Raw genomic sequence first — 20256 nt, forward strand, 5'->3', positions numbered from 1 at the left:
AGCAAATGACTTATAGTTAGCTCCAGAAAAAAAACAAAACTATAAAGTGAACTTAAAGTTGCATGCTGATGGCATATAGCACAGTGAAACCCCTGTTTCACAATCCATGCCATTTTCTACATCCCAAAGAGGTCACCATATTGCAAAAATACTGTTCTCCCAAATTGCATTGCAAACTCCCAAATGGCTTCCTATTTCTCAGAAATATGTGGTAAATATGCCCATTATTTGCTGTGAGAATAGCACTAAAAAGCAGACAGCTATTTACATAACATAGTTAATTAATTCATACCTTTGGAAGCTTCTTTAAAGGTGTATATTACTCTCATAACAATCCCACAAATCAGGAATCATAGAAAGATGATGTTGATGCATGGTGACTATTCAACCCATTTAGCAGCACCTTACACTGATGCCCGGGCTAAGAGTGGGAAGGAGCTAAATTTAAAAAAACAAACAAACAGCAAAATAAAGCAAAACTCTGTCTGACTGATGCATCCTGAGCATTCAATTCAGTATGTGCCCAGTGACCACGCAACCAGATTCTACAAAGCAGGTTTGTTTTCACACAGTTTGCATTTAGCACCCATAAAAATCTTTTTTACTTTCAGTCCATGCATCCCAGGCTTGATTTTGGAAACATCATCATTATGTTTATGAGTCACTGCCAGTTTTCAATGCCATGTTAGCCTAAGTCCCCAGGCCAGTTAATTCCTCTATAAGTTGATCAAGTGTCAGACTCAGGGTGGACCCTGGCCATCATTGCTATTACTTTCTGGCCCTGTCTTTAATATATCAGGCTCATGTAATCTGGAGCAAACTTCTATAAAAGATGTCATTTCCTCCACCCTCCATAGAAACCTGAGATTGGGTTTCCCTAGAGCTGGTTAAAAGTGCTGGATCCACCTTGTGAGAGATCTGAGGATTTTACCTGAAGTTCCCATCAAGGTGGCCTTCAGATTCATCCTTAAAATGAACCCAACCTCCCCAGAGCCAGGAGAATAGATGACAGAAAGCCAGATTGAACTATCCCAGGACAGAATGTGAAATTCTGAGCTGAGGGAGCATTCCAGGGAGGACTCTATTTATCACAATCACCTCTTATTTCCCCTTTTCAAGCTGAAAAGTATATATTCCTTAAGGAAGGGAAACTCTTCTCCCAGTGAAACAACCTCAAGAGTTTAAGACAGAAACTTTGGGATTAAAAAAAGAGCATTCGTCTTTTGATGAATTCAAAACATCTTACAGACAGCATCTAATGAATTCTCCCAAAGTGTGAAGACAAGTCCCACAGGTAGTAATCAGGGTAAAGCTAATGTTTATCTAGAAGTGGACCCCATTTTGAATGGGAAGACTTTTGTAGTCTCAGAACCCATGGAGCAAAACGGTAACAATAATATTTTGCCATCTGAGTTTTCTGGATAAGAACACTAATATAAAGAAATCTGAGTGTTCACCTCTGGCAGTCAACAAATTTTGCAGAGAGATGCTACTTTGTCCAATGGACCATCACCCTGTTTAAATTTCATAAGAATTTCTATTTTATCACGGAGCTAAGTAGAACCAGGAGAAAATACAAGAGTGGAAACTGTCAGAGGAAGAAGAAGGAATTCAGTTTCCTGGTGGAATAACTGTTTCTTGGGGGCCTCATGGAAGATACTGGGCTCAGTAGCCCAGGCTCCCATCCCTCTGAGCTTTAAAGTGAAAGTTTGATAATCCACACAACAGCATCAATGCACACAGACTAAAAGTCCACAGCTTCCTTTTCAACTCTTGTTATTGTCAGTGATCTGACAAAAAGCAGCCTGCACGATCACACATACGGATTTAGTTGATAGACTCAAGGAACTAGTAAGGACACATAAACAATAGAGACGGCAGAGGAAGGGAAGAAAGATTAGAGGACACATTTACATAAAATGTCAGCCCAAGTCATTGGGCTGCCGAATCCTGTGCCAGTGTCTGGTGGCAACACAGGCCTTGGGACTGGAGTAGACCATGGAAACCCTTCCAGATTAAAGACCTGCCCCTCACATACTGGTTAATCCAACTGAATCTCGCTGATCTAGAGATGGGGCTAACAAAGGCAAAAATTTTACTTTCCCAGCCCGCTGATTCCCAGATCTTGGCCACTTGCCATAAGTAGTGACAGTGGGGTAAGGAAAGGGCCAGGGTGGGATGCCTGCTCCGGAGCCCCTCCTCAACAGACCTGTCTGGCCCGTCAGTCCTATACAGGTGAGAGAGCAAGTTTTCTGTGTAGTGAAGCCTGCTGAATAATGGTAAAGGATCAGTAAAGACAATGGCACACAGAGTGCACCACACCCAGACTTGGTCAAGCCAGGGCCACAAAGAAAGATTTCTTTCTGTAGTTGTCAGCAGATCCCCTGCATCAGAATCGCTTGTGTTACTTGTTAAAAATGCACATCCCTGGGCCCAAAGCAGTGACTCTTATACCTGCCAAATTAAGAAAATCACAGTCCTAAAAGTGATATTGTTACATGGAACGTCTCCAGCTTTCCATCTTTTCAGTTTCAAACCTCCATGCTCACACCCTTGCAAGACTGCCAAACCCTTCTTCCCTCTCTCAGAGAGGCCAGACCCCTCTCTCACTGTACCATTCTGTACTCTCTGCTCTAAACCAGAGTTTCTCAGCTATTATTTTATTATCACCCCACTCCCCCTGCAAGCAGCATTTTTAGGTGTTTTGTTTTTATCTTAATTGCCCTCCTTCCTCCCCACCCCGCCCCCCCATAACATTTTAATACCACAGATATGTTGCACATCTGCCCTGTTGATGTACTATGGCCCTTTGGGGGACCACACCATTGTACTAAGACTTTTCCTGCCTCCCCCTCAGAACCAATATCAGCCTCACTGGAAACGCATGCTTTAAACGCAGGGTCACAAAACGGGCTGAGCAGGGAGCAGGTTGGAGGCTGGGTGGTGTGAACATGAGGAGGAGCTGAAGGAGCAGCCAGAATCAGTTCCAGCCCACTGGACATTACCAAGTGCAAATGTACATCCGGAGCAGCCAAATCTTCTAACATTCAGAAGAGTTTGGGAAATGAAGATTTTCCTTTAGAAATAAATGTTTACATGTTAGCAAGTGCTTTTTTTTTTATGTAAACACTAGGAAAGCTGGGTTTTATTTGCACACTGCTCATTTGCAACTTTTGCTCTAGGGATTTCTTTCACGGGGAAAGGAAAAAAGGGCTCGAGACTGCGACTGCCGAAGTGAGCTCCCACAATCCTTAGCGAGCCCGGAAGCAGCTCCAGGCTGATGTGCTCGTGGGGTTTGGAATCCAGAGCACAGCCTCCACTAGGGACGGCCCGAACAAATCTCATTAGCCAAGGGTTGCCTGCCTTCTGGGAGTAGTTTTGGGAGAAAAAAACAGGACTTCCATTCATCTTAACAGTCAAACCAATTTTATAGTCACTGCCCACCCCTGCCCCGCCCGAGCTCATAGATTCTCAGTGTGCTACACTGAAATATTCACTACTCCTAGCACGAACTCCTGCTTCACCCTACCAACCTGACAGGTCCCTACGGTGCCCTGCTCCTCCCTGCATTTCTGCCTGTGTGCACGCTGTCACCACTGACCAGACTATATGGCTCCTTCATTCTCTGAAAACTGCCCATTGGGAAGACCTAGATGAATCCTCCCTCCTCTCCACTCTCCTGTCTCTGCACACCCGGTGTGGATGTCATACCATTAGTTCTTGATTATACTCTGCCTGACACTTTTCTCTAATTGTTTCTAATGCATTAGCATTGGATGCCAACCCCCTATAGACTGTAAACTCCATAGAGGCTGGAACTGTTTCTGAGGCTGGAACTGCCCCTCCCTCCATTCCAGACTCCCAGAAGTTACTTTTCAAAAATAATTAGACTGATTGCAGTAGTTGTACCACTTTCCAATCTTTCTACAACAAAATTATGAGTAATGACATTCTACAGGACTTTTGTCGTTGTTGTTTTAATGTGAAGATAAAAGACAATCTATACCTGTTTTGCTGATTCTGTTGACAGAGTCCATTTTCCTCAGGCTGGAGAAGATCCCTCCCCAGTAATGAGAAAATCTGTACATGAAGCTCCAAGCTCCCCACAGATATTAACATCTTTATTTAAAAGTCCTTGAAAATGGGCATTTGGCGTGCAAATGTTCTGGTTTTGTGGGTTTTGTTTTGTTTTGTTTTGTTTTGTTTTGTTTTGTTTTGTTTCACGACAACTAGAGTTTCCATAGTTCTCAGCCCAGAAGAGTAATATAGTCTGCCACAGTCCTTGGACAAGTACTCAAATTTACTGAAATTGATGGGCTATTGCGCAGAAAAAGGAAGAGAAAAACTTTTCACCTAAGTCCGAGGAATGAGGTGAAGAACAATAGAGTCAGCTCACAGGGAGAATGGCTTTGCTACAGGCAGGATTGAGTAGCACTTTGAAATCTTCCACCATCCCCAACCCATGCTGTCTCCAGCTTGGTGTACGCTTTCATTTATCCAGGGATCAGTAGCCAGGGGGGGAAAAGTTTCATTCTCCAGCTGTTGTGTCATTTCCCTTGATAAGTCCTAAATTGACCGCGTTATCAGGCACCAAAGGAGCTTTCCTGTGGTAGGCATTTTTTATTATGTGCCCTTTCAGGGGACAAAGGCGTCTGTGTCAGTAAACTGCTATGGGGGGAAAAAGACAATATCATTCTCGCAGTTTCATAAGCATGCTCTTCTGAGGGACTAATGTGAATGTAAGAAATTAGGCAACATTATCATCTGTTAGCCTAGCTGTTAGCCTGACTGCTTTGGCGATCAGTTGAAGGAAAAATACAAAATACTATTGTCTTCAAGAGCAATTTTTAGCACTAAATATGCTAATTAAAACATTTCAAATGGAAACCTTTCCCTTTTTATATTTTTGCACAATATTTGAACATACTTATGGGCAAAATGGAGTCGCATTCCCATAGCAAGTGCCTCCCAGTGCTGGCTGTTATTTGTTAAGCCCTAAGGAACATGCTCTGGCATTGGGGAAGTGGCAGTGTGAACAAGCTGTGGTTTTATCTGGGACAGAAACATCTCGAAGGATGATTTGTGGAGGTGTAATGAGTTGCGGATGGAGTGTTGGGTGTCTCACCTGGGAGACAAAGCGAACATTCTCTGAGGTTGGTTTCCTCACTGCTCTGCTGTTAAAGAGAGCCACTTTCTTATAAACCGTAATAAACAGATATTGCTCGGCTGTGTGTTGACGTATTGATCCTATTTTTAAAAACATCTCCACAGATCCTCAAACGGCAGCGGGTGAGGTGGATGGGGTTAATCTGGAGGAGATCCGAGAATTTGCCAAAGCTTTTAAAATCCGGCGCCTGTCCCTTGGCCTGACCCAGACTCAGGTGGGACAGGCTCTCAGTGCTACAGAGGGCCCCGCGTACAGCCAGTCGGCCATCTGCAGGTAACGCGCGCCTGCATGCTGTCACCTCTTCTAGCCGCCCTGGGCCTCATTTGTCCTCGCGGTTCAGCTTTTCTTCGTCGGGTGGGCAAAGCTGGAGGGGCAGAGAGTGGGAACAAAGTTTGGGGGCAGCTATATGTTGGGATTGGTGATCTTGATGCAAACGACGCTGCTGAAGCAAATTTGGGGGTCCTGGCTTGATAACTCCTGTCAACTCACAAAGAACTTCCAAGGCAGTCTCATTGGAAATACACTACCCCAGGGTCAGGGGCCTTCCTCCTGGGCCCACACTCCTATGCAGCTGAGAGCCACCGACTTTGTCTGCACGTAGGTATTCTGAGCAAATGTTGTAAAGCTGCCATTCCTAATTTGTGTTAACGCCTTTGCTATTTCTGCCCAGAGATGGCTATCAGGATTTTCCAAGAAAACACACATTTTAAAAAAAAATTAACTATCTTGTGACCTTGAAGGTTTTAACTTGCCTTCCCAGACACAGCTTTAAAAGCACATTTATAAGAAATAAAAAATAAAAGAAAAGAAGCGGTGGCTGCTTTAAATGGCTCAGAAAAGGGTAGTGAGAATCTGGCCTAACCTTGCTCATCTCCCCCAAATTAAATAAATGAATAACAGAATCCAGCCTTGGTTGTGTTCAAGTTGATCCGGGTTAAGTGGTCAGAAGCAGGCCCCGTGCATGCATGTGTGTGTTGCACTAATCCCATGTTTATGCATGAGGTAACAAAGGCACTTCGGTAAGAGCTTTTTCCTCTTGGGCAATACCTTATGAGTCCTCCTCCAACAGGAAAAGCCAAGAAACCAACTCTAAACTCATTTAAGTGGATTTTGTTCTTGGTGATCCATGAAATGCTGTCTTTTTATCTGCTCTTTATACTTTTAATGTATTCCCCAAAGGACGGAAGTGTACTTTTCCTGCAGTTTAAGACTAAGGTTATAAATAACATCAGTATGGGGTAGTAGCTTGCAGCTCACATTTTGCTCAATGATTTCCCATAAAACCCATTGATTGTTGTTAAATACAAAAAGCACCATAGGATCCTCTCACTTCTATGGCCTCCCCTACTGTTTTTTCTTATAAGATACCTCCCTGTAGAAAATAACCTTTATTCAGTCTATACAAGGATACTACTGCTGGGAAATTTGTTTCAAGGCTTGTATATGTTATTCCAAACAACATGTACAGAAGTGTCAACACTAACAAACAGCATCCATGATATGAATACCATTGCTCCCTGTTGGGAAACATTAATTTTGTTTCATCTTGACAGCCTTGGGATAAAGGCAGCCACAGGTTTTTAAGTTGTTGCCAATTTTCTATTGGTGCTAAATTCCTGTTTTGCTTATTTTTAGTCCTAAAACGTGATTTTCTTTTATTGATACAAGTGCTGGCTAATGTTTAACTCATACACTTAGCACTTCTTGGGCATTCCCAATAAAGTATGTTGATTTCTAAAGTCTACCCCCAGAGAGAGGTCAAAAAAGCTGTGGCTGAAATGTGGAGACTTTGGGAATTTCTAGTATAATAGAACATGTCTGATGCCTTGACTTTTGGGCCTTTCTCTAGCTTCCAGTATTTCAGTGAGATCGTTTTAGGAGCTATCTACCAAGAAAAGAAAGAAAGACCGAGATCTTATATTGGAACAATTTAAGTGAATTCAAAGGGTGGTGAGGAACCTGCTTTGGAGGCTGCACACTCAGGCATCGCTTGTCCCTCATGAGCTGCAGTGACTCCTAGGAGCTGCTTTAAATCCCTCCTTATCAGAGGCACAGAGAAAAAAGCATTACCAATACACTGATCAGCCCTATCACAACCTCTGTCCCCTCGTGCCTTGACACTGTAAAGCCTGTTGTGACGCTATCAAATATTTAAGCTTTGGGGATTTTATGGCAAACGATGGCAAAATGTGGTATGTGGCAAATTAGCACAACAATGAGAGCTTTTGAGGAGCTTGCCATAAAGGACAAGTTCATTAAATAACATTAAATGATCAGTTCACTCTGTATTGAAAGTAAATGTACTCCTTCCGTCCTTGACCAGTACTGGAAGCTGGGTTTTTCAAAAATAAACAAATAACCCTTGAGTTCTACATGGAAGGGAATGCTATGGAAATTGCATTAAAATTTGGTTCTGTTTGTGCTGCTTATCACATTATAAGAGATCTAAAATGTGCTGCCAAAAATAAGATTGTGGCACATAAAGAAAGCCTATCCTTTTCTGTCCTTTTGCAAGCATCCTTACAAAACATATTCTGAGTAACATGGGCTCAGTTTAGCTCTATGAGAACAGACCATTGAAATAAAATACACTCTGTAGTCAGAAGTTTTTCAACAGCATGGGACACTGTAAAAGGGAGAGGAGAATTCTGTGTATCCAAAGCTGTCATACTGGAGAGTTGTGAATTTGGATTTAGAATAAACAAACAAACGAATAAAAGGAATTCCTACTTTTTTTGTACTTCATTGAGAGTGAGTGTGAGTTTGGTACCAGGGCGACTTCTTAAAACACTCTATATAATTTTGTCCAAGACGCTTCATATTTTTTAAAGTCAATGTAGCAAAGAATTGCTGATGGCAGTTGATATATAGAAGACCTCATTTACAGAAAATGATATCATTCAAGTACAGTTTGCAGATATCACACATTAAACACAGCTTGGTGCCCTGGTGCAAAAGTACACCATTACACCGGCTGGTGTTTGGAAGGCAGGAGGTGGCCTTAGTACACCCAGAGGTGGGGTGTTTTATAGTAATTACAATGTGTCCAGCTGTTTGAGCCAGAACAGGAAAGTAGCAATGGGTAATGTTTTACCTGGAAAAAGGGCATGTTGTTAACTTACATACGGTGAAAATTGTTTGTTCCCAGGGAGAGAAAAAGAGAGAGAAGTCAAAATGAGACACAAAAGAGAGATAAAAAGAGAGCCATATAAAAGTCCCAATGGCCATCAGTGACTATGATAATAGCAATAACATTTTTATAACCAAGTCAATGGGGGTAATTTAAAGAAAACCAAATGTAAAACACGTAAAGAATCATTTTAAATGAAAGAATGTGACAACTGTCATCTTTGATGTCACTTCTTAGCGTTAATTTTTGCCTTCATGAGTCTGAGGACTGAGAAATGGAGCTGGTACTATTCAAATAAATGCTTAGATCTCAGAGTTTATAGGGAAAAGGCCTGTGAGTTGTTTGCATGCCTATGATATGTTATGATAGCTCATGCATCCTGCTGTCTCTGCTTCTCATCACCCCTGTCTGTGCACCTGTGTGGTTTGCATGGTCTGGCATGGAGCACGCTGGGAGGGTGGGCGCTGGCTTGGGCAGGGCTGGCTACCTTGCAGCTGGCTATTAACCTGCAGTAAATTCGCCCTGCCAGGCAGTCAGGCAGGCAGGCAGGAGGCCCACCCTGGCAGAGGACTCAGTGTAAGACTGTTCTTTCTCAATTTTCCCCCCCAGACACACCATCCTGAGAAGCCACTTTTTCCTACCACAGGAAGCCCAAGAGAACACTATAGCTAGCAGTCTGACAGCCAAACTGAACCCTGGCCTTTTGTATCCTGCCAGGTTTGAAAAGCTGGACATCACCCCTAAAAGTGCCCAGAAGATCAAGCCGGTGCTTGAGCGGTGGATGGCTGAGGCTGAGGCCCGCCATCGAGCAGGTATGCAGAACCTGACCGAGTTTATCGGGAGTGAACCATCCAAAAAGCGCAAGCGGCGCACCTCCTTCACACCCCAGGCCCTTGAGATCCTCAATGCCCACTTTGAGAAGAACACACACCCTTCTGGGCAGGAAATGACCGAAATTGCTGAGAAGCTGAACTATGACCGAGAAGTAGTTAGAGTTTGGTTCTGCAATAAGAGGCAAGCCCTGAAGAACACAATTAAACGCTTAAAACAGCACGAGCCGGCCACGGCAGTCCCTTTGGAGCCCTTAACAGACTCTCTGGAAGAAAACTCCTAAAGAGATGCCCACCCATAATCAGAAGCAAAATTCACAGAAACTAAACTCCACCCTTGGGACTCCACAACAACAACAACAACAAAATTTAATTTAATTTAAAAATAGCCCCAGTCGTCATCACCCTTGTAAGTAAATGACTAAGAAAACTACCAAGTGGACAGAATGGTTTCTACATGTCCGTTGGTTTTCCAAAAAGGAAAGAAGAAAATTTTTAGAAAATTTTTAAACAAGGAATACACCACACTGAAGGTGTGTGTGGTAGGATAGTTCCCTTCCCCCACCTGTCTCCCCCAAAGCCAGTTTTTTAATGGACTTAAAGCAAACCAAATAACCACGTACTTTTTTCTGTATATTATGAAAATGTGAACACATTTTAAGGAAAAAGAAAAAAAAAAACTAAACCAAAAACCAACAACGAAGGAACAAAAACTTTGATCTGTTCAAAGCGAATACAAGCCTGCCACCTGGAGGAAGGACTGCACCCCTTCAGGTACTAAGTGCTGATTCACTATGAAACCTATTAACCAAAGTCAGAAACATGGCATTGCAACGCGATCGTTCGTCTACGCTTCTCCGCACGTAAAGTTGTGTTACGAATTTTTACATTTGTACTAACAGAACAATAGGAAGCCTGATTTCTCCCATCTTTCCCATCTACTGTCTCCACCCATGGGGTGGGTACCATTGTTGAAGCCATTCTGTGAGGCTCACTATTGGGTTTTTTTGTGGGGGTGGTAGGGAGGGTGGTCTTTTTTCTTTGTCTTTCTTTTTGACGGGAGGGCATCCTGGATCGTGTGCCAAAGCATTTGTTGCTTTTTTCTCACTATGACTTGTGGGTTTGAGAAAAGAAAATGGAGCTCGCATTTCTCTCTTTTCCTCCATTTCTCCATCTCCCTCGCGCGTGGCTCCTGGGGTCTGCTGGAAGGCCACAGAAGTGGGGAGAAGCAGTGTCTTTTCCACTCAGATCCTAGTGAAATGCAGGAGAGACTCCAAAATAACTAGGGCTTTGCTCGATGAACTGTCAACACTGGCATAAGCTGTAATTGTGCTCACTGTCCACACCAGAGCTTGGGATTTTTCTCAGTCTGTTGGCCACGTACATGGAGAGCTGACCAAAACTAATTTTGTAATATAAACATAAGCTGCACATTTGGTTCAATACTTACATCTATGTTATGCTTCTGTGCAAAGCAATTTCTCTCAGAAGTCTGATAGCCAAAGAAATGTCTCAAGATTTCAGTCAAATACACACATGACATGCACACACCCATAAACACACACACAAAGAAACAGGCTAAAAAGAAAGTGATAGCAACTGGATCATTAAAGGCCATCGTGTATCCTGTTAATCTCATCTTTTCTGCTACTTCTTTCATTCCAATAGCGATGGCAGACTTTTTTCAGGGGGAATAATTACTCTTCGGGATATATAAATGGAGCAGAAAGGTGGCGGGCAAATTTAAACAACTGGAATTGGGGGCCAGGTTCTTCAGGGGAAAGGAAGTTTGAAGAAGCTTTCACCAAAAGAAAAAAATATAGAAGGGGCTTATCTAACAATCAGAATAGCCTGCAATATGAGAACTAGAGGATTATTTCCTTTAAAAAAAATAACTTAAAAGATCTGTGGGCCACAATAACCTAATAAGCAAGGACATGTTGGGATGTGAGGACGGCTGTGCAGGTGAGCACTTGGCAGCTGCCACTGGTGTTTTCACCCAGGTACAGGCAGACGGTGTTCCATTAAAGGAGCAGGCAAAAGAGAGCTGTCAATTTGCTTGCTGTTGAAATGTACATATTTATGCATAATTTATAATCATGCTAATGTATTATCTAGAAGTAAGTTGTGAAAGAAAAAAGAGAAACCCAATCTCAAGTTGCCCAACTGATTAGAAATGCCATCTCCTTCCCCTAATACACTCCCTCTCCCTGGGGAGTTTGAGTTTCTTCTGTTGGCTCCTTTGCTGTTTGTGTAAATGCTACAGTATAATTGTCCCCTCCAATGATTCATGCAGCAATCAAGAGACTACCAGCAAGGAAACTCTAAAAGGAATCCTGGAAGTGGAACAAGTCACTCGTAAAGGTGTTTCCATTTTACCAGTCAATGCTAACTGGACCACAGCTAACTTGATCTTCAATGCCAACATCACAGAGCCCCTTTCGCCACCTCAAAAACTGCACAAACATGGACAACCCAGAAACCCAAAACTTTATTGATTAAAACAGATTTTGGATTCTCCTAGGACCTGCTCCAAATTCCATCAAGAAAAGCTCCCTGCGAAGAGAAGTTAACAAGATAACATATGATGGATGCTAAATATTTAAATATATGCCGGCAGCGGTTACATAAGGCCTGCTCAGTTCTGAGATCTATAATTGGGAGGGTCTAACTAGGACAGGGAAAATATAAAATAAAAGTAATCTTCCAGAGTGGAACAAAAAAGAAATATATTCATCCGACAGTCGTAACACCATTCATGTGCAGTGATTTTTTTATAGTTTTATAATTTTGTATTGTTTTATAAATTATTTATAAGGTGTTGTAATGCTTCTTATATTAATTTTTTACAGATAAATTTTTTGCTACAAGGCATAAAAAGGTGCCTGAACCGATTCTTAGGAATATAAATTATACTGTGTAACTCATAAGTCTTTGGGACCACACCTAATGCTTAATTTTATGATGACATTTCTCATGTCTACTTGTAAACAACTTCATATGCCAATGGCGTTTAAGTGTCTTTTATGTTTCCATGAACTGAAGGTTAAGGTTGCCACCCACAAAAAATAAAAGCCACTTTGGGCATATGTGATTGTATTTCAAGCTTCAGTATTTTTCTCACATAATTTTTAATTATTGTTATCTGCATTTTCATTACTTCATGAAAAAATGACAGTGGATATTACATTTTACACTTGTTTATAGATTTTCTTTCTTTTTCAACCAAGAAAATATTTTGAACAATTGAAACTTTTAATTGCATTTGCAAGGTTTTGGCTTCTTTATGTTGTCATCACACAGATGCACACACACATACACATACAACACAAAAGAGAGAACAAAAAAGCAAAAGGAGCTAGGAAAAAAACAAAACAAAACAAGTAGAGGTGTATCAAAGAACTCAAGCTATAACCAAAAAGAAATCGTAAAATGCCTTTGCTCGTTTCTCTACGCTGGACCAAAGCTCAATATTTGTAGGTATATGCACATTGTATAGATATGGCTAAATGTTGCTGACAATCTCGCAATACTAAACTGTTCCTATTTTAAGAAAAAAAAAAGAAATACAAACTGTTCATCAATGTTTTACCTCAGCACTCTACTTGTACCCAGTTAATGACCAAGCTTAAAAAAAAATTGAGATAAAGGAAATTGATTTTCATTTCAATGTTTGACTGTAAAATCTGTTTGGATAACATTTTGTAATGAGCTTTTTGTCATGTGATTTGCTTGTCTTCAACTTGAAATTATGTGAGGCACATTTGTTTATTTGTTGTTAAGAAAGTGATTTTTTTTTTTTTTTGTCCTATGTGCTGTGATCTAGACTGGTCACCGGGGTCACTTATGAGGCACCACAAAGAGATCTGCTTCTCCGTGCCCGGAGCAGGCAGCAGGAGGGAGGGCAGGAAACAGGACTGGGTTGCTTTGGAAAAATCATCATGACAAGAAGTTGACATGATAGACTTGTGACCAAGAAGCCAAACTGAATATTTAAAAGCTCCTTACTTGCTCTGACATTGAAACCAAAGCTGATTTTATCTGCACAGGTTGCTTAATATTTAAAAAAAAAAAAAACTGTACTTAATCTAGAGCAATATCTGTATGGTCAGTAAAGCTGCACTTTGTGTATTTCTTAACAGCTTCAGATCTGTCACTTTTAATTTGTACCATAAAAAATAAATAATTGTTTGACATGAGCTTCTAGGCTAAGTGTGTCTCACACTCAGATATGTCATTTAAGTTGTCAGCATTTTAAAAACTGTACATTAAAACCCCAAATGTTAAGGAAAGGAAGGGGTTCAAGACAGATTGGTTAATATCATGATTATTTTAACTTTTCAAATGACATATTGTATTCATTGGGACTCTTTTGGTTGCAAGTTATAGGAATTCAACTGAAACTTGCCTACACATAAAGGTACTGTGTTGTTTGACTTAATGGGAAGTTCCGTTGTGGACCTGAAGCACAGCTGGATTCAGTGGTTTCAAAGATGTCATCAGCCTGTCCTGCTTGGCTTCCTTCTCAGATGGATTCTCTAACCATTGACTCTAAGGCTTTGAATCATTGCGCCCTTCTCTAAACTAAGCACTGGTGCTGCGGGGTGATGCACATAAATTCATGGTCACAGGCTCATTCCTGTCTGTGGGGGGAGGGTGGGGCCTCACTCTGACGACCCTGTGGGACCACAAGGATTGAAAGAGGAGTACACATAAGAACCGGAAGACAAAAAAATAGAGCCATGGTAATGAGCAGACAAAACCCAGAGCCACCACATTCTACGACTAACACCCAGCTGTGTGCCAGGTGTCGTAGAGAGTTCTGTTGGTGAAGAGTGATCTGCTAGTCTAAGTAATGTCTGTAATGGCATGTTCTGGAAAATTGGACATTTGGCATATGTTCCTGCTTGAAGTTTAGTGTGGGTAGGAGGGGAGAGTGAATGTTGTTATATAATTCACTAATTCAGAAAATAGGATCATCTTGCTAAAATACCAGTAAAAAAAATTTAGAGTCATAATCGCCATACTTTCAGTGACCTTTAGCAAACATTTTTTATGCTACATGGAAATCTGTGTATCAACTTCATACTGTGATTGATAAGAAGTGCTTTGGAGTGAGCAACAAAACCAAAAATCCAAATGACCATGCATTATAAATGAGCCATGAAGGGGCCAGGGAGCTCCAAGCCTGACTTTAAAAGGGGCAAAAGAAAAAAAAATGCTGATACTTCTGCCTTGAAGGGTGGGGAAAAAACAAAAAATAAAGTCATTTTCAATGGCTTTCTTTCCATATTTAATATTCTACAAATATTATTGGCAAAGGTCCTGCCTATGATTATGCCTATTATGAAATATGTTTGACCTAGGAAACTCTAAAATGTCTTCTTTAAAAAGGACAGACATCATTTACATTTAATCATTCCATATTCCACAAATATCTGCTAAGCATTTAATGTGTCAGAAAATCCTGTGTGCTGAGGACTCAGAAATAAACAAAAAGAATCTTTGCCTTCAGTAAACTCATATTCATTGTGCAAAAACCAGTGATATTTCTCCAAAAAGTAAAATAATTCCATGTTTCTTATAGTATAATATTTCAAAAATAAATTTCAAAACTAAAATGATAGGAAGCAATTCTGAGGCTGACTTCAAAACTGAAAATGGATGGGTAGGAACAGCCTAAGCTTAGAATACAATCACAAGTATCTTTTAAATGATTCCAAAAGCTGTTCCGATAACAATTTTCTACTAAACCAACCATATGCACACAATATATTCAGTGTAGCAGGACAATGGGTGATGAGTTTAATAAAGAATCTATGCTTGGAAAGAGTTCAGAAGCAACATGTAGATAAAACTAACACGTAACAAAGACAAGTCTGAGCTCCTCATCCATTGTTCTGCACTTCGAAAGGAGTCCAACCAAATGCACCCATTTGTCTTACCTACCAGACATTGAGGAAAGCCATGGTCAAGGGAAGAAGATGACACCTAAGGAGAACTTCAGTGCACTGCATGAAAACCTTTCTAAAACATGTGAAATATTTCCCTGTTTTCTTAAAACAATTATTAACATCACTTATCCTCTTCAGGGCCTTTCTCCTATTTGCTTTATCCTTGTTAATGGCTCTATCCATCAGCCACCCAAAGCAGAAGTCTAGAAGTCATCCCAACCCCTTTATACACACACACACACACACACACACACACACACACACACACACCCTAAGTCACTAAAGTTCTGGCAATTCTGCCTCATGAATTCCTTTTGAATCTGTCTCCCACTCTCCATCACCCACTTCCACTACTTAGTTCAGACCCACCTGCCTCTCACCTGGATCACCATGATATGCTCCTCCTAGCCTCTACATCCATCATATGTTTACCCCAGAGTAGTCAAAAGGCCAGTATAAATAAATTTCTCTTTTGTTTAAAACCTTTCCTACGTTACCTTCAGAAAGAGAAACAGACTCCAGCACAGAACACAATACCTTTTGCAACCTGGTCCTTGCCTACTTCTTTAGCCTGATCTCTCATCAATTCCCAGTTCATAGAGTTATGTCCTTGCCACACCAAACTTCCTAAAATTTCTCCAATGCCCAAAGTACTTTTGATGCAATACCCTCTGCTTGGAATGTCCATCCACAGTATTGTTGACCTATCTAATTTCTATTCATTCTTTAAGCCTCAATTATGTTCAATTCCACAAATAGTTATGTGCCGGGCATTGTGCTTCCTTCATCAGAACATTTATCAAGTTTGCATGTTTATTAGCCACCTCTGAAATATTAAAAAATGACTGCCATTGATCTCTGAGTGGCCTGTGGACTTGGCTTACGGGTAAGTGTAGTTGGCAATAAGTTCTTTTAACTAGTTGTCATTTGCATGTGACAGATCTTCCTTGTCTAATAAGAGTAACAGTCATATTTGTATCCTTTTCAAAGCTCTCTCGTATACATTATTTTATTCGCTCCTAACATAAACCCAAAGAAGTGTGGTGATTCCTGTTTTATACATGAGAACTAAGAATCATAAAAGTTAATAGTCTTCACCAAGATCCCAGAGTTCATAGATAGAGCTGGTTCTTCAATACACTAGGAACTAGAATATTCACCAAGGTGAGGATACATTGAAACACAGTAAACTCTGATACAGCCATGTCTTTGAAGTGTCAGTGAAAACTACAGTATCTGATATATGGTAGCAGTTCAGGAAAGGCTTACTGCTGTGGATAATTACCAGTTATCTAATTAGCAAGTCCACTGTGATTTGGGTGAACTTAGTCTGAATGCTTACTGCTTGGCAGAAATAGTAAAGGACACATAAAGGGAAATTAGAAATGTCTATATACATTGTATTCTTTTATTATCACTGAGATTTAGGGTCTCCACATAAGAAAACAATTCCAATGATTCCAAAGGTAAATGAGTTAAAACCAGTTGAAAGTGAAAGAGAAAATCAGTGGGCCCTAGTCACTAATCCCACTAGCAAGTAAAGACCATGCGATGCATGTGGAAATAGGAAGCTGGCCTGGGACCTGGGCTGGAAGGTCCATTCCAGAACTTTCTTTGATACTCTTACGTCACTTTTAAGAGTTTTAGTTGGCTGGGAATGGTAGCTCATGCCTGTAATCTCAGCACTTTGGGAGGCCAAGGCAGGTGGATCACCTGAGGTCAGGAGTTCGAGACCAGCCTGGCCAAAACAGTGAAACCCCGTCTCTACTAAAAATACAAAAATTAGCCAGGTGTGGTGGCAGGCTCCCGTAATCCCAGCTACTTGGGAGGCTGAGGCAGGGGAATCGCTTGAACCCCAGGAGGTAGAGGTTGCAGTGAGCCAAGATCGCGCCACTGAACTCCAGCCTGGGCGACAGAGCAAGACTCTGTCTCAAAAAAAAAAAAAAAAAAAAAGAGGTTTAGTTGTGCTCCTGACCATTTGCCAGACCTGAGATGGTCATTCGGGAAGAAATCACACTCTTCCCATTGCCTTTTCTATATCACTGAAGTCTGGGATCTGTGTAAAAGGATCTGTATGGGTTAATGGGCTTTGTTACTGAGGTCACTGGGGCATCACCTCTAAAAGAGGGGACGTTTCCAGGGTGTTTGACTATTTGCACATATGCAATGGTAGGAGAGCCAATATAACAAAAAAGATCCAGAACTGAAGTAGTTCCAAACAACGAACTTCAGTCAAAGAGCAAGAAACTCATATGCAATAATAACACTCATGGTGAACTATAATATTGAACTCCTTTGCAGATGCTCTTATTAATATGCTAGATAAAAGAAGCAGAAAAGAGGCTGGCATTTCCTGGATACCTACCATATGTAGGTATTACTGTCCTCATTTTCAAATCCTGCACTATTTTCTGAGATTTGAGGCCTGCTTAGATATACTTATGCTACTAATAAATGTTCTCATAAAGGAAGATTCACTAAGACTTACCTACATTTAGACTGACTAAACTCCTGAACTAATGCATCATTGAAGTGGATCACTGGACCTCAGACAATGGATTTTTGATCCATGGATCTGGTCACCACTTGGGCCACATCTGTGACTACAGATGAAGGAAAAGAGATCATTTGGGAAACAGTTTTGCTTCTTTTACCTTCCAGTTTTTGTTATTGTTGAAATCTTTTATTGTATAAGTAATCTATTTTTATTATAGAAAAATCAGAATATACAAAGAAACAAGATATTTTCATTATAAATTATTATAATTCAGCTGTTTTTCTTTATATTGCTCTTTTAACATTCATGGGCTGCTTTAATTGTTTGTCTTGAACTTCAGAGACAGAGGGTAAATTAGAAAACCAAAAATAGAACTCACATATCTTGAAATCCCATTTCTGTGAAATGCCACAGCTGTTTGGGTTGCCAAAACTCAGTCATTATTTACCCAGAATCTTAACTTGACCCACCATGCAGCTAATCCTGGAAGAAAACACAATAGCCCCTGGTTGTCTGTGGGGGAGACACAAGGCCCGAGATCATTTCCACACAGGCTTTGCTAACCAATCAAGAGGTATGAGTGAAGAAAAGTGGATTTCAGTCATGGAAACATGCACCCCTAGGTACTGGCAGGCTCATACTGGCTGGCATGATGATCTCTTACTTAAAGTAAGCCTCTCCACTTTACATTCAAAGAATGGTTTTATCTTCATATAAGTCCAAACCGTATCAAGGCCTTCAATAGCCAATACCATGCACACAGTGAGCATTGTACACATGTCCTTTTGGGGAGCCAGTCTGTGATACAAAGGCTTGGGGAAATGACTTAAACCCATCAAAATCATTCTCTGCCATCCAATTTGATAAAACACACCCTGACATACACACACATTGAACATTTGTATTGCTTCTTTCCAACAGCACAAGCTTCACTCTTACTTTTTAACACACTCCTACTGTGTCCTGAGTGTTCAAATACTTACTTTTGGGTTTTTTGCCGCTTTGAATAGAGGGGAAGAGTCCACACAGGCTCTTGGTTCTGTTCCTGGGAGGTCACAATGCAACCAGTCCTTGAAAAACATAATGTGTGCTCAAGCACTTGCATGTGTATTCTTTATTTCTGCTTCTAGAACCATCAGACTCCCCAGGAGGAACAAAAATCAGAAAAATTAATATATCTGCAGTCTCCCAAGAGTATAAGAGCCTGTTTCTCCATTTTTTCTCTTCAGAGGAAGCATTCAACTCTGAAGGGGTCCATTTAAACTTCCTGAAGAGAGCAAAATACTTGGGGACACATCAGTGCCACCTGCCCGTCCCTTGGCAAAGCAACGGCCCCATCCCTTATTCTCCTCCTCCAAGTCCTTTATTTTCTGATTCTCTCCTTTAAACTTACTTTGCCCTTATTTTCCTCAAAACTGGAAGGGTGAGAAGCATCGTCAAGTTAGCCAGACAAGACCATTCAATATTTTGTGGGTGCACCCCCTCAACTTCCTCAGCCAGGAAACTCTACTTACATTTTGTGTTCTCTTGGCCTGTTGCTCCTCCTTTTCCTGACCTCCAAACTCTGATCAGCCTCCAAGATCCAGATGAAAGGCCTAAGACCTGAAAGCATAACAGTGAAACACTGTTTAGAGTTGAGGTCAGGATGAAGATCTATCACAGGGACTGGCAAATAGTAAGTATTTCAGACTTTGAGGACCATACTCTGCTGTTGTAGCACAAAAACAGCCATAGGCAGCGTGTAAAAAATGGTAGTAGCTGTGTTCCAATAAAACTTTAATAACAAAAACTGACAGTTGGCTGAATTTGGCCCAGAGACTATAGTTTATAGACCCCTGCTCTATTGGGCTAAGCTGGTTTGGGGCCACACAGTCCCCATAAGTCTTCCATGGACTCTGGGCATGGGCCCACCTCCTAGCCGTCCATAGTGATGCTGTCTGGGCTCCACCCAGAACCCCTAGGATTCTTTCACCCCACTTCTGTGTACCCTGCCACCTGCTTCAAAAAGGTTTGGCCCCCACACATTTTGCACCTTCTGGAGGACTTCCTCCAGCTACCAAGTCACTTTGGTCTGCAAGAGCACAGAGCCCCAGGTGCCTGGAAGTTTATGTCCCCAAATCCCTACCCCCCAGAGCTGGGAGGATGACTTCCCCGGCCCCCACAGCTCCTGGCCTGGGTACTTACTTCCAAGGCTCATGCATATTCCAGATGGAGGGACCAGGCTGCAGCCGCCCACCCTGGAAAATGACCTGGAATTGCTCCCTCACTTACCTTGCATCTCCACTCCCTTCCCAGGTTTTCCCAAAGTCCTTCCTTAATAAATCGCTTACACCCAAATCCTCATCTGTGGGGAAGCTGACCTCCGGCACCGTCTCAAAATGTTCTAAAAACCTCTTTCTTGCCTCCCTGAAGTGTTTGAAGATCCTGGAACAGATGCTCAAACACATCCCTAGATTTATCCGGGGCCCAGGAACCCTGTGGGAAAGACCTCAAACCCGGCCCTCAATTGAGGTTCAAACACTTGCAGAAGGTTGAGATTAGAGTTCCCCTCAGGGACACAGATTAGAGGGAGAGGGGCTTTTGAGGGAAGATGGCTCTGAGTCGGGGGATCAGCAGAGAGAGCCCTGGGCAGCCATGACTGGGAGATCCTGTGAGTGCTGAGAAGGGAAGAGGAAGGA

At 41.6% G+C, this 20256-nt stretch overlaps 1 protein-coding gene and 1 long non-coding RNA gene across 7 annotated transcripts in view, besides 2 other annotated features; one reads left to right on the forward strand and one right to left on the reverse strand.

Moving 5' to 3' along the window:
* The window catches only part of POU6F2 (POU class 6 homeobox 2), a 490693-nt gene extending 477367 nt beyond the window's left edge, over window positions 1–13326 (forward strand). For 4 of the 5 annotated variants that reach the window (NM_007252.4, NM_001370959.1, XM_047419843.1 and 1 more), the window contains 2 exons: window positions 5272–5440; window positions 8907–13326. In NM_007252.4, coding sequence (NP_009183.3) covers window positions 5272–5440; window positions 8907–9411 — 674 coding nt within the window. In that variant the 3' untranslated portion in view covers window positions 9412–13326. The remainder of the gene's footprint in view (window positions 1–5271; window positions 5441–8906) is intronic. The other variant, NM_001166018.2, reaches the window with a different exon arrangement.
* The window catches only part of LOC105375238 (uncharacterized), a 58176-nt gene extending 38996 nt beyond the window's left edge, over window positions 1–19180 (reverse strand). Inside the window, exons 1-3 of one of the 2 annotated variants that reach the window (XR_927185.2) lie at window positions 19093–19180; window positions 18562–18648; window positions 17913–18061 (exon numbers count right to left, since the gene is read on the reverse strand). This is a non-coding gene — a long non-coding RNA (uncharacterized LOC105375238). Of the gene's footprint in view, window positions 1–17912; window positions 18062–18561; window positions 18649–19092 lie in introns of those variants that run through there. The other variant, XR_927186.2, reaches the window with a different exon arrangement.
* Window positions 7206–7707: an enhancer, noted in NCBI's record as "NANOG hESC enhancer chr7:39502080-39502581 (GRCh37/hg19 assembly coordinates)". NCBI's record gives its function as "activates a minimal SCP1, AML or CMV promoter by ChIP-STARR-seq in primed H9 embryonic stem cells {active_cell/tissue: H9 hESC(primed)}" and the evidence as "EXISTENCE:reporter gene assay evidence [ECO:0000049][PMID:30033119]".
* Window positions 9727–10228: an enhancer, noted in NCBI's record as "H3K27ac hESC enhancer chr7:39504601-39505102 (GRCh37/hg19 assembly coordinates)". NCBI's record gives its function as "activates a minimal SCP1, AML or CMV promoter by ChIP-STARR-seq in primed H9 embryonic stem cells {active_cell/tissue: H9 hESC(primed)}" and the evidence as "EXISTENCE:reporter gene assay evidence [ECO:0000049][PMID:30033119]".
* Window positions 19181–20256: the final 1076 nt, after the last annotated feature.

Source organism: Homo sapiens, chromosome 7, assembly GCF_000001405.40.
Source record: "Homo sapiens chromosome 7, GRCh38.p14 Primary Assembly".
Classification (NCBI taxonomy): Eukaryota; Metazoa; Chordata; class Mammalia; order Primates; family Hominidae; genus Homo; species Homo sapiens.